Genomic DNA, 16,001 nt, shown 5'->3' on the forward strand with positions numbered 1-16,001 from the left:
CGTATATGTAATTCATCTTAAATTGCTACTTAATGTGGTTCAAGGCAATTGTATCAGTCCATTCTTACACTGCTATAAAGATACTTCCCGAGACTGGGTAATTTATGAACAAAAGGAGTTTGATTGACTCACAGTTCCTTATGGCTGGGGGAGCCTCAGAAAACTAACAATCATGGTGGAAGCCAAAGGAGAAGCAGGCACCTCTTCACAAGATGGCAAGAAAGAGAAGAGAGAGAGCAACAGAGGCACTGCCAAACACTATAAAACCATCAGATCTCATGAGAACTCCCTCATTATCAAGAAAACAACATGGGGGAAACTGCCACCATGATCCAATCACCTCCCATCAGATCCCCCACTTGACACATGGGAGTTACAATTCAAGATGAGATTTGGGTGGGGACACAGAACCAAACCATACCAGTGATATTATTACTGGATACCCATTATAACTCTTTATAATTCTTTATTTTTCTTTATAACTCGTTTTGAAATAAGTTATCTTTTCCTGAAATATGACTTTGGGACCTGGATCTACTCTGGGCTGGGTGCTTCACATATATGACTTAAATTGTTGAAGTAGTTATCAATAACCTTTTCTGAAGATGGGGAAATAATTTCTAAAATGTTAACTTGCTTAAGATCATAGGACTGATAAATAATGAAGTTAGTTATGTGAACTAACAGTCCTCTTAAAATAAAGTCCATCTTTCAAATCTGCAATTTCATTATTAAAGGCACTAATTATAAGCATTAACTTACACTAAGAAACAATCACAAGATCAATCAATGCCCAAGGTGAGAAAGAGAACAGGCTGCTTTGAAAAAATAAGATGGTAATGTCCAAAACCTTTTCTTTAACTTTTCAAAGAATAGTTATAAATAAGTGTATAAATATTTAATCAAGAAAGATTTAGGTTCAAATCTAGTGAGACCTCCTACATGTCAGATCTTATAGTAGGCACTTTCATAGATAATAACTGTTCAGTACTCATACCAGCAAAAAAATCTATTAATATGTATTAAGATTATAAAGTATTCATATTAGGCCAGGTGCCGTGCCTCGTGCCTGTAATCCCAGCACTTTGGGAGGCCTAGGCGGGCGGATCACTTGAGATCAGGAGTTTGAGACCAGCCTGGACAACGTGGTGAAACCCCCCCTCCCTACTAAAAGTACAAAAATTAGCTGGCAGTGTGCGCTTGTAATCCCAGCTACTCGGGAGGCTGAGGCAGGAGAACTGCTTGAACCCAGGAGGTAGAGGCTGCAGTGAGCCAACATTGTGCCACTGCACTCCAGCCTGGGTGGCGGAATGAGACTCTATCTCAAAATAAATAAATAAATAATAAAGTATTCATATTAAAACAACACAAACATACCTTACTGACAAGCAGGGATACCTTGGAATTCTCCACCCTCCCTCATGTAGTCCTAGAGATGGATTTGATAAAATGTTTAAAATGTTCTGTGATGGACTTCTTTTTATACTTTAGTATCTTGAGAACTCAGTGTTTCTCAAGATTTGACTTACTGTACAAGATTGTACATGGTGTACCATGCATACTATACTTTGTGAGTCATTTAAGGGATTTTCAAAAATTATTTTAATTACACATAATTTTTGCCTTTGTGCACACCGCTGGTTTAATGCGCAATTTCATAACAATTGCTGTGATTCAGCTCCGAATTTTGCTCTGGATTTTCAGTATCCAGTATTAGAAGGACAACATAATCATAAAAAGTTCTGGACTAGCATATGTAAAGGTTAATTTTGAAGAACTCAGAAGGGGAACTGGTGCTCTTAGAAGCTAGTGTGGACTCACTGGGGAAAAAACGTCCTCTACATAAACTTTACTAGTTTGATTAGGAGACGGCTTCTTTTGATCGAATTTTTGCAAAGCAGTTGAAAGAGGATCTCACAACATTCTTAGGACAAAAGTTGAAGTGTGAGCTGAATAATCACAATGTGAATTTATTATATGTTGAAGCCCCCTAACTAAAGTGGACACTGGGGACAGGTTGAAAGACTCTATCCTGACCTCCTTAGAATTATGAAGAGCATAAATTTGTCACATTTGCAGATAATGTCCATCTGGGAGGAATAGCATGCCCTGGATAATATAATTGAAATCTGAAAATAACTCAATGAATTAGAAATACAAGTCAAATCTAACACCGTAAAATATACTAATGGTGAATATAAATTTTGTTCTAAGGTCTTCAGTCCAATTACATAAGTAAAGGAAGATGAAAGGGTGGAAAAGATTCTTGTTCTTTAGTTGGCTCCATCCCAAGCAGGAAGAACATAGAAGGTAATGCAAACTTGAATTACCTTAGAGATAACCCAGACAATGGAAATAATAATCTGACATCTCTGGCTTTTCACAAGCTACCCCTTGACCAGTGGTGTCATCGGGGGCAATGAAGTCTAGTAGAAACATGGATAAACTGGAGCATACTCAAAGGAGAGCATCTAAAACATGAGAACTCTTAAAGTTCTGTCCCATGAGGACTCAACTGGAGATGCTTCATGTGGATGAGAAAAGAGTTAGAGGAGATATGACAGCTGTCTTCAAATACTTGTATGGCTGTCATTAGGAAGAAGTATTCAAATCCATTGGTGTAGCTCCCACAGGGCAGAACCAGCAACCACAGGGGTGAGTTAGAGGAAGGCTGATTTGGATTCAAAATAAAAACATCTTTCTGGACCTGCCAAAAATGGGATAGTCTGTCTCCTTTCCATGAAGATTTTCAAGCAAGTATGAAAGGTCCCTGATTGAGGAAATCTGGCCATCACTCACAGTGTCTACTCAATATCCATCCTCTACTTTCCTTCTTTCCAACTATATCTAATTTTACTTGAGGGTGAACAGACAACCCAGTTCTAACCTTTGATCTTAGATCTTAGATCTTAGAGGAATTCCCCGCTGGGGCATTTGGATAAGCTTTTGATTTCCTGATAAGAAGGGACAGGTATAGCTGGTGGCCACCCTCTCCCTTATTCTGCCTGGAATGCAGATGGGATGCTAAGAGTTACAGAAGCCATCTTAAAACCACAAGTAAAAACCAAGAAAATCAAGGAGAAATAGCTCTGATATCACTGAGCTGCTAAACCAAAGCCAGCAAGTGCTTACCTACAGACACCTTGCTGTGTTAGAAAAATACATTTTTGTTTGTTTAAGCTACTGCAGTCAGATATTCTGTTATTTGGGCCGGGCATGGTGGTTCACACCTGTAATCCTAGCACTTTGGGAGGCCGAGGTGGACAGATCACTTGAGGCCAAGAGTTCAAGACCAGCCTGGACAACATGGTGAAAATCTGTCTCTACTAAAAATACAAAAATTAGCTAGGTGTGGTGGTGCATGCCTGTAATCCCAGCTACGCAGGTGGCTGAGGCATAAGAATCACTTGAACCTGGGAGGCAGAGGTTGCAGTGAGCTAAGATTGTACCACTACATTCCAGCCTGGGCAATAGAACAAGACTCTGTCTCAAAAAAACAAAAAAAAAAAGATATTCTGTTATTTGCAGCTAAATGCATTCCTAACGTATCCAGGAAAAGTGGAATACAAAGAGCAATGGCAGCAGATTACATTCACTCCAGAGTCCTTCCAACCTTGAGATTCTTTTAGTCCACAATCTAAGTTAATGTTCTTAAACTGTTCTACATTTATCCCATAAGTATCCTTCTAAGTACTTACTGTATAGATGGTAGTATACTAAGAGTACTGAACACTCCCTTATATGTGTATAGTATCAAAGCCTCTTGCTTTTCGTTGAGAGTCAACAGTATACTGGAATCAATCCCATATTGATGTCATTGTAAGGAAAGATGATTTTACTTTGGAATGAGTTCTGCATAGCAATTCTAATACAATTTTGTAGTTGATGACCATTGTTTCAGACCTAGATCCATTTGTTCAAAGAGCTTATGTCCTTCAGCCCAGGGCCTATGAAGAGGATTTTGGGGATTTCCAATCGGTCAAGATCTAGGTCAACATTTAGGTCAACATCTCCCCTTCCCTCTAACACACACACAGTGTAAGAGAGATAATGATACTCTGAAACTACTTGGGAGAGTGTCCTGGGGAAGCAGAGTGTGTCCCCAAGCCAGGGGAAAACCTGTGGTCATATCCCTGCTTTTGAACATGGAGAAGAGTGTCAGGAGAAGTCTCAACCCCAGCACTTTGGATGGAGGCCTCCACTGAATAGCTTCCTCTGACACTGGCATCTCCTTTCTGTGCAATTATCCTAGCACAATCCTTGTTGGCTGAAGGTCTGGAGCCCTCAGATTGAGGGTCGGTGTCCTGCACACCAACATAACCTCAGAGACAAGGTGGACAGTGGCCTAGGAGCAAAGGTTTGCCACAGCACCTCTGCAAGATGGTAAGGTAGTCAAGCAGGGATGCCAGGGTCAGCTGTAGAACCAGAAGGGAGCCCAGTCTAGTAGAATGGAGACAGAGCTCAAGCCAACTCTGACCACAAGTGGAGGTGGACCCCATCCTGGTACCTTGGTAGTGTCCAAAGGCAACAACACCAACAGAACATGGGTGAGTGGAGGTGTCAGTTATCCTGAGGACGCCATCCTGATTTGCCAAGAGCCATGGTTTCCCAGGCAATTTAGAGGAGGGTTAGAAACCACATCCCCCTAGGAGATGGGAGAAAACCTCTGGAAACATAGCTGGGAAGTCCAGTTCACATTCCAGAAGCTTTTATTGTAGGCTTGAGCTGAATAAAGCTTCCATTGGACCAAGGTCCGAGATTTCTCAGCAACAGCAGAGGCAGGTGTGGCCTCAGAAATTAGGACATTGCACATCAGGCCATTTAATAAATATTTTTCAAACTGTGAACTGCAACCCATTAATGAGTCATGAAATCAACATAGTGGGTCTGTAACAGCATTTTTTAAAAATGAGAAAGATAGTAAAATAAAATAGGTTAGAAAGAAAAAATCAGAGTGCATTCCCTGTAGTAGAGGTAATTAATGTAAAACTTCTATTACTGTGTGTATGTATGTGTGTACATGTGTGTGTGTGTATGTGTGTATGTGTGTGTTTTCCAGATTTTTTTTTTTAAATGGAGTCTCACTCCATTGCCCAGACTGGAGTGCAGTGGTGTGATCTCAGCTTACTGCAACATCCACCTCCCGGGCTGAAGCGATTCTCATGCCTCAGCCTCCCAAGTAGCTGGGATTACAGGTGTGCACCACCATGTCGGCTAATTTTTGTATTTTTAGTAGAGACGGGGTTTCACCATGTTGGCCAGGCAGATCTCAAACTCCTGACATCCAGTGATCTGCCAGCCTCAGCCTCCCAAAGTGCTGGGATTACAGGTGTGAGCCACCGCACCCGGCCTGTTCCAGATTTTGATGTAAAATATATTTCTTACTGTGAGTAAGGGTAAAAAATGTTTGAAAGCCATGGATTCTTACTGCTTAGATAAGCACTTAATTTGTATAACATAGTCTTCAGGACATTTTGTACCCTGTTTCATTTTATGACTAAACTAACAGGAAGCAAAGTGATCCAGGGCATTGACTGAAATTAATTAAGCAAATATCTCCTAGTTTGAGGAGGATGACATGTTCTGGTTTTCTGTAGCTCTTTTGGCACATTCAAATATTTCTCCTTTATTCAGGGAGAGGATTGTTTGCTCTTTTGCTGCTCTTAGTTCCTTCTTTCTCATTATTAGCAACGTTATGTTAGTGAAATAATGTCCCGGGACATTGTTTACCTCAATTTTCATAATTTCGGTCATTGGTTCCAACATTCCTCCTTTCCATATGATACCACTTCACATCCACTAGGATGGCTATGATCATAAAGACGTGTTAGCCAGAATGTGGGGAAATTGGAAACCTCATACACTGCTGTTGGGAAAACAAAAATGGTGCAGTCATTACGGAAAATAATCTAGTAGGTCCTCAAAATGTTGAACACGAAGTTACCATATGACCCGGCAATTCCGTTCCTAGGTATATACCCAAGAGAAATGAACACATATGTCTACACGAAACTTGTACACAAATGTTCACAGCAGCATTATTCATAATAGCTCAAGGATGGAAGCAATTCAGATATTTATCAACTGATTTATGGATAGACAATGGTGATATATCCATGCCATGGAATCTTATTCAGCCATAAAATGGAATGAAGTTCTGATACATACTACAACATGAACAAACTTCTAAAACATAATGCTAAGTGAAAGAAGCCAGACACAAAATGTCACAGATTGTAAGATTCCATTTTTATGAGATGCCCAGAATAGGCAAAATCTTTAGAGATAAACAGTAGGTTAGTGGTTGCCAGGGGCTGGGGAGGAGAGAAGGAGAAGGGAGTTGTCTGGAAATGGAGAATGACTGGTAATGGGTTTCTCTGGGGGATGATTAAGATGTCCTAAAATTGATTGTGATGATGGTGGCACAGCTCTGTGAACATACTAAAAACCACAGAATTACACACTTTAAATGGATGAGTTATATGGTATGGCAATTAAAGCTATGGTTTTGAAGGAGCACAGGTAGACAGATGGGCTCTCAAACAAGAGTCAGGACTTTTTGGGATGATAGAAAGTTTCTATATCTTGACTGTGGTGGTGATTAAGAGATGTATCAATTTGTCAAGCCCCACTGCAATGTCTATAAATTAATCCTCAATAAAGTTAATGCTGGGGCTGTGTTTGCCCCAACTTACAAACCTGCAGCTTCAATTCTCCTAGGGGTTCAAGATGCTCCTCATATCATATTCATGGACGTGGGTCACTAGCCCTGTTGCTCCCGAGATTCCCTAAATTCAGCTGAGCTTTCTCTCATCCTCTGAAATGAATCCAGAATGTCTAGAATCCAGACAAGTAGGCCTGGCTGGGGCTGAAAACCTGCTATGAAGCTGGCAGGAGCCCCTTTACCTTCTCATAAGGAAGGACACTGACCCTGTGTGATGTGTATGACATCCTAATGCTCGCTCGGCAGCAAGGCTCAGCCAAGAGGACTCAGAAGTGGGCAGGAGATTCTAGGATTCTTTTTTTTTTTTTTTTTGAGACAGAGTCTCGCTCTGTGGCCCAGGCTGGAGTGCAGTGGCATGATCTCGGCTCACTGCAAGCTCCACCTCCTGGGCCCATTCCATTCTCCTGCCTCAGCCTGCCAAGTAGCTGGGACTACAGGCGCCCGCCACCACGCCCGGCTAATTTTTTGCATTTTTAGTAGAGACGGGGTTTCACTGTGTTAGTCAGGATGGTCTCAACCTCCTGACCTGGTGATCCGCCCGCCTCGGCCTCCCAAAGTGCTGGAATTACAGGCGTGGGCCACTGCGCCCGGCCGTGGGCAGGAGATTCTAACCCATGCTGTCACTAACCTTCGGCCTCAATCAGGTGCCTGATGTCTGACGTGAAACCCCCCTGACTTCCCACCATCCAGCGTCACATTCTTTCCCCACAGGATCACATCCCAGTTATTTAGCCTCAGGCTTCATAGTGTGGCACTCCCTCATGTTCCTTGACTAGATTACTTTGTTCCATTTATTCACATGGGGACCTCAGTAAACAGAGGCGAACTCTGCTTGGGTGACCAAGAATTCCAATTCCTGAGCCTCTAGGAAGCTGCTGGAAGAGAGCCAGAACAGTTGTTTCAAGGCGCTACCAATCGCAGCTGCATCTTCTAAACTCTCCTAAGAAGCAAGAGCTTTGAGTAGCTGGGATTTTTTTTTTCTTTTCTTTTCTTTGTTTTTTTTTTTTTTTTTTTTTTGAGACAGGGTCTCACTCTATTACCCAGGCTGGAGTGCAATGGCACAATCACAGCTCACTGCAGCTTTGATCACCTGGGCTCAAGAGATCCTCCCATATCACCCTCAGCCTCCCAAGTAGCTGGGACCACGGGCAAGAACCACATGCCTGGCTAATTCGTAAAAAAACAAAATGTGTAGAGACAGGATCTCCTTATGTTTCCCAGGCAACATGGTGAGATCTCGAACCCCTGGGCTCAACGGGCTCAAGTGATCCTCCAGCCTTGGCCTCCCAAAGAGTTGGGATTACAGGCGTGAGCCACCATGTTCAGTGGAGTAGCTGTTTTCCATAATAATTATTCATATTTATAGAATGCTGACAAGGTATCTGGGACTTGCAAGCATTATTTTATGTAATCGTCGCAATAATTTTATTGGTATGGTATTATTTTCCCTATGTTACAGATGAAGATTAGGCTTCAAAAGTTTAAGTAACCCGTCAAAGGCCGCATCACTGGAGCATTTTAAAGCAGGGATGCAATTGCAAAAGCACCAGTCAGAGCTCAGAATCCTGTTCCAGTTGGGATATACACATGGACTTCACAAATGAATGTAAGGAAGATACTCTTGTGAAGTATGAATTCATCTCCTAGAAACTTTATTTCCCGTGGGCTTCTCACCCACTGAAACAAGACATTTCAGGACTTTAGGTAAAAGGCAAATATTCAGTAGAGCAACTCAGTTACTTCTCAGATTTGACTCAAATTAAAAAAACTGCATCAAATGCAACAACACCATAGGCTTGACTGTCAGACTCGAGAGAGGGTGTAGGAGTGAGAGCAAGGATTACTAACTTAGTTATTAAAGTTATGTATCAAGAACTAAGCCTGGACAATGGAGTTTCTTTCTTAAAAATAAAAAAGAAGTCCTTTCACTTTTAAAACTTTTAAAAACCAATATGTCATTGTTTTCCACTTTTTATGGCTAGGAGGATATGATGAAGGGAAAGTGAAACCCACATCTGGCAAGTAGAAGAAGAGAGCAAAAGGGAAAGCAGAGAAGTTCAAACAAAGATTTCTACCTGCTTCTGCCTGAGGGCCACTGTGTGTGCATGCGTGTGTGTGTGTGTGTGTGTGTGTGTGTGTGTGTGTATGTGTGTGATGAGTGACAGGAGAAAGAGAGAGAGAAGGACTCAGCTAGATCTGGGGGAACCAGAGCATCTCAGGCCCCCAGGAGAACTGAAGCTGCAGGTCTGTAAGTTGGGACTGTGTAACTCGGCATGAGATGATGGTGGGCAGGTGCCGTGAGAAGCCAGGGGCTAGGTAAGCCTGAAGCAGTGGTCCTTTTCCCCAAAACCTGGCACACACAGGAATGAGACCTCCTCGTATGCTTGGAAGGGAGGTCGTGGCCGTTCTGAGTGTGCAGTGGACCAGCAGGGGCCTGGGTCAGCAGATGGGGATCCCAAGACCAGGGATACCAGCACCACAGGTGCCAGCTAGAGGAACCAGCGGATCTTCCTCAAAGCCATGGGATCAGGAACATCTCAGCTCTCAAGCAGACCAGGAAGGAGACCAGTCCCTCTGTGGAGATCAGTGTGGATCCAGCAGACAAGCATGGGTCATCATTCAACCCACGGTCCTGTAAACCAGCGGTCCCCCAGCTTTTAGGCAACAGGGACTGGTTTCATGGAAAACAATTTTTCCACAGACGGTGGCAGGGGAATGGCTTCAGGATGAAACTTGCTCCAGTTCATCAGGCATTAGACTCTCATAAGGAGCACACAACCTAGATCCCTGATGTGCACAGTTCACAATAGTGTTGGCCTCCTATGAGAATCTAGTGCTGGCACCGATCTGACAGGAGCAGAGCTCAGAAGGTAATGCTCACTTGCCCATCGTTCACCTTCTGCTGTGCAGCCCAGTTCCTAACAGGCCATGGACCAGTCTTGTCCAAGGCCCAGGGGTTGGGGACCCCTGGTATAAACCACATACACCCCAGTAACCCCAGAGGCCATGTTGGAGAGGAGCAGGCAGAAGGAGAAGAGGAAGAGACCTTGAGGGACCCAGCATTTGTCTACAGGAACTGTTTAAATAATAGAATTGGAATAAACTGGTCTGAGTCTTAGCTGTTTCCCCTGCTGTGGCCCAAGCTGTGTCCTCTGAAAAATTCATATGCCAAGCTACCTCAGAAGGTGACTATATTTAGGCCAGGTGCGGTGGCTCCTGCCTGTAATCCCAGCACTTTGGGAGGCCGAGGAGGAAGGATCACCTGAGGTCAGGAGTTTGAGACTAGCCTGGTCAACATGGTGAAACCCCGTCTCTACTAAAAATACAGAAATTAGCCTGGTGTGGTGGTGCAAGTCTGTAATCGCAACTACTCGGGAGGCTGAGGTAGGAGAATCACTTGAACTCAGGAGGCGGAGGCTGCAGTGAGCCGAGATCGTGCCATTGCACTCCAGCCTAGGACACAGAGAAAGGCTCCATCCCAAAAAAAAAAAAAAAAAAAAAAAAAGAATGTGACTATATTTAGAGATAGGGCCTTTAAAGACGTGATTAAGTGAAAATGAGATCTTTAGGGTGGGCTTTTATCCAATCTGACTGGTGTCCTTATGAGAAGAGGAAATTCAGCCACAGAAAGAAATAGCAGGGATGTGTGGATGCAGAGGAGAGATCGTGTGGGGACATAGCGAGAAGGCAGCCACGTGCAAGTCAAGGTGAGAGGCCTCAGGAGAAACCAGACCTGTTGATACATTGACCTTGGGCTTCTAGCATCCAGAACTATGAGAAAATAAAAATCTGTTGTTTAAGACTCCCAGTGTGCGGTACTTCGCTGTGGCAGCCCCAGTGAATAAATACACTCCATCTCCACCTCCAGCTTCCCCCACCTAAGTGTCCCCAGTAGGGTGGGGTCTTGAGGAAAATCAAACCATTTAATAGGAATATAAGGAAGCTATATTTTTTGACCTTGCTCAAATCATTTGGAAAACAAATGTTTTAGAACTTTAAAAGAAAAACTTTACTTAGAAATAATCTACTCTCATTTATCTAGTCATGTGAAGAAGAAAGAAAATGTTTACTTACTACCCCTAGATATATTCAAAAGCAAAAAACCCCAAACTATATTTCTTTAACATTTCTAATCTGATGTTTTCTTAAAGAAGTTAAATTAGCACAATTTATTCGAAACTAATGAAGTTCACCATATTTTAATTTCAAAGTCAGTCTTAGAGAATTCTAGTTTCATCCTATCTTCCATTTCGTAAAATTGAAAGGTCATGTTTTCCCACTAAAAAAAGTGCCCCTGAAATTAACTTCAGAAGTATTTCCTTACAAGTGGTATTTGAAAGTATGTTGCTTTTTTGTTCCTCGTCCATACTTCTATTTTAATATGTTAAATATAAAAACAGAGATGAGGAATTTCCTCATGAATACTTCTACTCAGGGACAGGATTTGAAGGAAATGAGACAAACACAGCCAGCCCTTGGTGGGGGCCGTCCTCTGTCTTTCTTCAGGCCCAAGCCCTTCCTTCCTCATTGTAAGTAGGACACTCGGTGCCTTAGCTGGTTGCCTCATTCAAGCTGAAGTGTACAGAACAAAACCACTGCCACTGACAGGGACACGGAGCCTGGACGCTGTGTGCTCCCAACTGTGTGTCCGTGGAAACATTTGCCAAGTCTTTAACAGTTGCAGCGGATTAAACACAATTTCCTAATGTTCACGGCTTCCTTGGGCATTCATTTAATTCATCACAGGCCCTGTCTGACAAGTATTAGGATCGAGGCCAAACACCATCCTAAGTTAGTCTGAAAAGAGGAGTTTCTAAGCTCTTGCTCCTTCCCCGCAGACTAACCCACTGGCCTCTCACAGCACACCAATCAATAGCTGGAAAGCTGGACCTTGGCTTTGACCGGAAGATTCTTCCGGCTAGTCACAGTCTCTCCTCGCCTTTCCAGTCCAGATCTGTCTGTCTTAGAGCAGAGAATGTGTGGATTCAGCACAAGTCTCCCCAGAGACATGCAAATGCAAAAAAGAAATGAGTATTTCGACAGAACACGTCAAGTCAATGAAGATGGCGTGAGGATGTTTGAAGGATTAGGAGGACAGTGGAGCTTTGTGGGGTCTGGGCAGGACAGCAGGTCATCCATGGTGCAGAGAAGTAACTGTTATTCTCTTCCTTTTAAATCTATTGCTCTTCCAAAAACAAGATTCCCTGTTAGTGGTTAAGAATCCCAAAACGCAAACCCGTGATAAAAATTGCTATGTCACTTTCTGGAAGCCATCATTTTCTCTTTATTTCCAAAATAAAGATGCTCTACCCTCCTCCTCCTCCTTCTTCACTAAAATGTTATGTCTGAGCATGGTCAATCAAAATTCAAGAGGTATAAAAAGAAATACTGTAAACCAGTTTTTTTTTTAAATGAAGAAATATTTCCCTTAAAGCATAAAGTGCAGAAACATTGTAAAAAAAAAATGCCATGTTTATCCTCAATTCTCCCTCTGAAGACAGTTTATTACCAGTTTCTTGTGTTTACTTCCAGAGATATGTTATTGGGTTGTGCAAAAGTAATTGCGGTTTTTGCCATTAAAAGTAATTGCAAAAACCACAATTACTTTTGCACCAACCTAATGTACATAAGTATATTCCGACATGTTATTTTGAGCTCCACAGAAACAAAACAAGATTTGCCACCTGGTGACAGACCATCCTGTTGTTCCCAAGGAGAAAGGTGAGGTCATGATGTGGATTATGTAAGGTCACGAGGCTCCCTCCTAGATATTCTGACCCCTGCAGAATTCTTTATGTGATTGTCCTGCCTTTTATCCATAGGTCAGAAGACACACTCCATCTCTGCTTAAGTGAGGCAGAATAAAATAAAATCTTATTCAGAGTATTTCCAAGTCTAAATTGTGGGGCACAAAAAAGTCTATTATTTTGCCAGCAGCACCTACAAGGTCTTTTGTCTACAAATGTAAATCAATCAGTGTTTTAGTCAGCTTGGGCTGCTATGAGAAAATACCATAGACTGGATGTCTTAAACAACAGATTTATTTTCTCACAGGTCTGGAGGCCAGAAGTTCGAGATCAACGTGCCAGCAGGGCCGGTTTCTGGTGAGGCCTTTCCTCCTGGCTTGCAGACCACCGCCTTCTCATCCTGTCCTCACGTGGACCTGGCATTTCCTGTGTGCATGAGAGGATAGAGATAGAGCTCTCTGGGGTCTCTTCTTGTTTTTTTTTTGAGACGGAGTCTCACTCTGTTGCCCAGGCTGGAGTGCAGTGGCACGATCTTGGCTCACTGCAAGCTCCGCCTCCCAGGTTCACACCATTTTCCTGCCTCAGCCTCCCGAGTAGCTGGGACTACAGGCGCCCGCCACCACGCCTGGCTAATTTTTTGTATTTTTATTACAGACGGGGTTTCACCATGTTAGTCAGGATGGTCTTGATCTCCTGACCTCGTGATCCGCCAGCCTTGGCCTCCCAAAGTGCTGAGATTACAGGCATGAGCCACCATGCCCAGCTGGGGTCTCTTTTTATAAGGACACTAATTCTATCAGATCAGAGCCTGACTCTTGTGACCTCATTTAACCTTAATTACCTCCTTAAGACCCTATCTCCAGATACAGAAGGTCTCCAACTTACAATGGTTTGACTTATGATTTTTTAACCTCATGTGGTGGGAAAGATCCAAATTCAATAGAGACCATACTTCGAGTGCCCATACACCCATTCTGTTTTTCACCTTCAGGACAGTATTTAATACATTGCATGAGATATTCGACACTATTATAAAATAGGCTTTGTGTTAGATGATTCACCCAACAGTAGGATAATGAAAGTATCCTGAGCAGGTTTAAGATTGGTTAGGCTAAGCTATGACGTACAGTAGATTAGGTGTATTAAATGCACTTTTGACTTACATTTTCAACTTACAATGGTTTTATTAGAGCGTAACCACATCTAAAAATTAGGAGCACCTGTATAGTCAAATCAGGGATTAGGGCTTCAACATATGAATTTGACAGGGGGTGGGGGAAGGACACAATTTAGTTCACAACAGTTAGCAACATTGATAACTATTTTAATAAAATAATAACGGCTACTATCTAAGTGTCAGGCAATGTGCAGCATGCTTTATGCATATTACTTAGAGTCCTCAAATGAACTCCACGAAGTGGACATTATTATCACCAGAGTGATTGAAACTAGAAACATTTAACAAGTGGTATGTTTGAGCACTGACTAGTCAGATTGAACACCAGCTATAAACAAGCACGGTGGCTGTTGTTCCAGTGCATGCTGGCCAAAGATGAGCCCCCAAATGATCACGTTTTTCAGGTAAAGAAGGAGAGGATTGGAGAGGAGAAGGGAACTGGACAAGCCCACGCAGCTGGCATATGGTGGAGCAGGGACACGTCTGTCTTACTCAACATTATTTTGCCTCTCTTCTACCTTGCCAGGAGTTATCTGCTGGAGATCCCCATATTTCTCTACTTTGGTGAGTCTTTGAGTGTTTTCCATCATATTCACAACTCAATGACTGTGCCTGCCACGACAGAGGCTGGTTTGGGATCAAGTCAGTTTGGCCACTGTCTCCTCTCTGAACAGACTCAGACTGCGGTAGCAGGGGATCGTCTTTGCTGTCCATGCTGGCTCACGTTTGACACTATTGCAATGTTTCTGCATCTGGGTCTTTGCATTGGACCAAGCTGTCTTTTTCCAGAAGACATATCTGGGTCTTTGGGGTCATTTGCCTTCTTCCCTGAATTTGACCTCTACTGTCAATCTAGATTTGGGTTCATGCTGACTCACCATACCCATTACATGCTGCCTTTGTTCCCTAGCCTGACCTGATCTTGGGCCTCAGGCTACAGCCTGCTTTTCCATTACAAAGTACCCAAACACCAAACACAATGCTGTCTGAGTGCCCCCTTTCCCTGCCAAATTCTTTTTTTGTGCTATTTGGACCTCAGCTGCTGACACTTTCCTCCATAAGCCTTTATTCCCCTCCCCAATGAACTAATGAACTCCGCTTCCTTTTCTAAGTGCTCCTCATTCTTTCTCTTTCTTATGTTTTTTATTTTTGTCTGTTTTTGTTTTTTGAGACAGAGTCTCACTTTTTCACCCAGGCTGGAGTGCAGTGGTGCAATCTCATCTCACTGCAACCTCTGCCTCCCAGGTTCAAGAGATTCTCCTGCCTCAGTCTCCCAAGTAGCTGGGATTACAGGCACACGCCACCACGCCCAGCTAATTTTATTTTTTCTTGCTTCCACATTCCCCCTTTTCTTCTTTTCCTTTTTCTTTTCCCCCTGTTTTAGGATTGCATTAGCACGTATCCAAAGAGCAGCCTTCACTCTTGATATTTGGGGCTTAGGAACATCCCTGTCTCCTGGGCTGTCAGGGGCATAGTATATCTGTGGGACATTCTGTAAACCTGTCAGTCAGTGATACCTACAAGCAACCAGAATTAGGCCATTTTCAAGGCACCTTCATTAAAGATTAAAAGGCAACCTTGCCTGTCCCAAATTTTACCACACTTCCCCCCAAATGTCACCTTGTCCAGAGGGAAAGGGAAATACGTGATTGGAAAATCTGCTATCATATGCAAACTTTACCTGGACATGCCCCACTTCTTCAAATAAAGTTCCACTGTGCAAACTATTCTACGGCCCTATATCCTGCTGTACTCATTGTTACTAGAATAAATATTTGCAGTATAAGCAGAACTTTGTTCTGAGGATAAATCCACAGGATACTTAGCACTCTGACAAATGAAAAGCCAGTTTTTAGCTGCCCTTTGTTTGATACAAACTGGATGTTGTGTTTTCTTTTCTGGGTTATGTATAACGTACAAATTCTAGGCAATCTTTGACAAGAACTTATAATAACAAACTGCCTTTTGACAATGACTCTAGAGAGCCTTCCTGTCTCCAGAAAATATCCCTCTGTGGCTCCAAAGGTCTCAGTCTCAGGGTGATGTCCTGGCTACTTTTCTTTTGCACCATAAATGAAATGACAGTGAAGACATCAACCTCGCCATGTTGGAAAACTGCCTAAGATGTTTCTTGGAACTGTGGCCAGTCCCAGGAACAGAAAGGCATGATGTTCACAGCTAAAACTTCCTCACAGCGGCCTGCTGTACCTCCTCATGCCTGAGAATTGCTCTGAGGAAGGACTCATTTACCACATTTGCACTGCAGAAGTCAACACCCAGCGATCAAAGGACATCCTGGAAAAGTCAGTATAGATCCTGAACCAAAAACCTCAGAAGTGATTCCAGGCTGCTG

At 42.9% G+C, this 16,001-nt stretch overlaps 2 annotated features.

Moving 5' to 3' along the window:
- Window positions 13,729-14,651: an enhancer, noted in NCBI's record as "OCT4-NANOG-H3K27ac hESC enhancer chr2:223659282-223660204 (GRCh37/hg19 assembly coordinates)". NCBI's record gives its function as "activates a minimal SCP1, AML or CMV promoter by ChIP-STARR-seq in naive and primed H9 embryonic stem cells {active_cell/tissue: H9 hESC(naive and primed)}" and the evidence as "EXISTENCE:reporter gene assay evidence [ECO:0000049][PMID:30033119]".
- Window positions 14,652-15,574: an enhancer, noted in NCBI's record as "OCT4-NANOG-H3K27ac hESC enhancer chr2:223660205-223661127 (GRCh37/hg19 assembly coordinates)". NCBI's record gives its function as "activates a minimal SCP1, AML or CMV promoter by ChIP-STARR-seq in naive H9 embryonic stem cells {active_cell/tissue: H9 hESC(naive)}" and the evidence as "EXISTENCE:reporter gene assay evidence [ECO:0000049][PMID:30033119]".

Source organism: Homo sapiens, chromosome 2, assembly GCF_000001405.40.
Source record: "Homo sapiens chromosome 2, GRCh38.p14 Primary Assembly".
Lineage (NCBI taxonomy): Eukaryota > Metazoa > Chordata > Mammalia > Primates > Hominidae > Homo > Homo sapiens.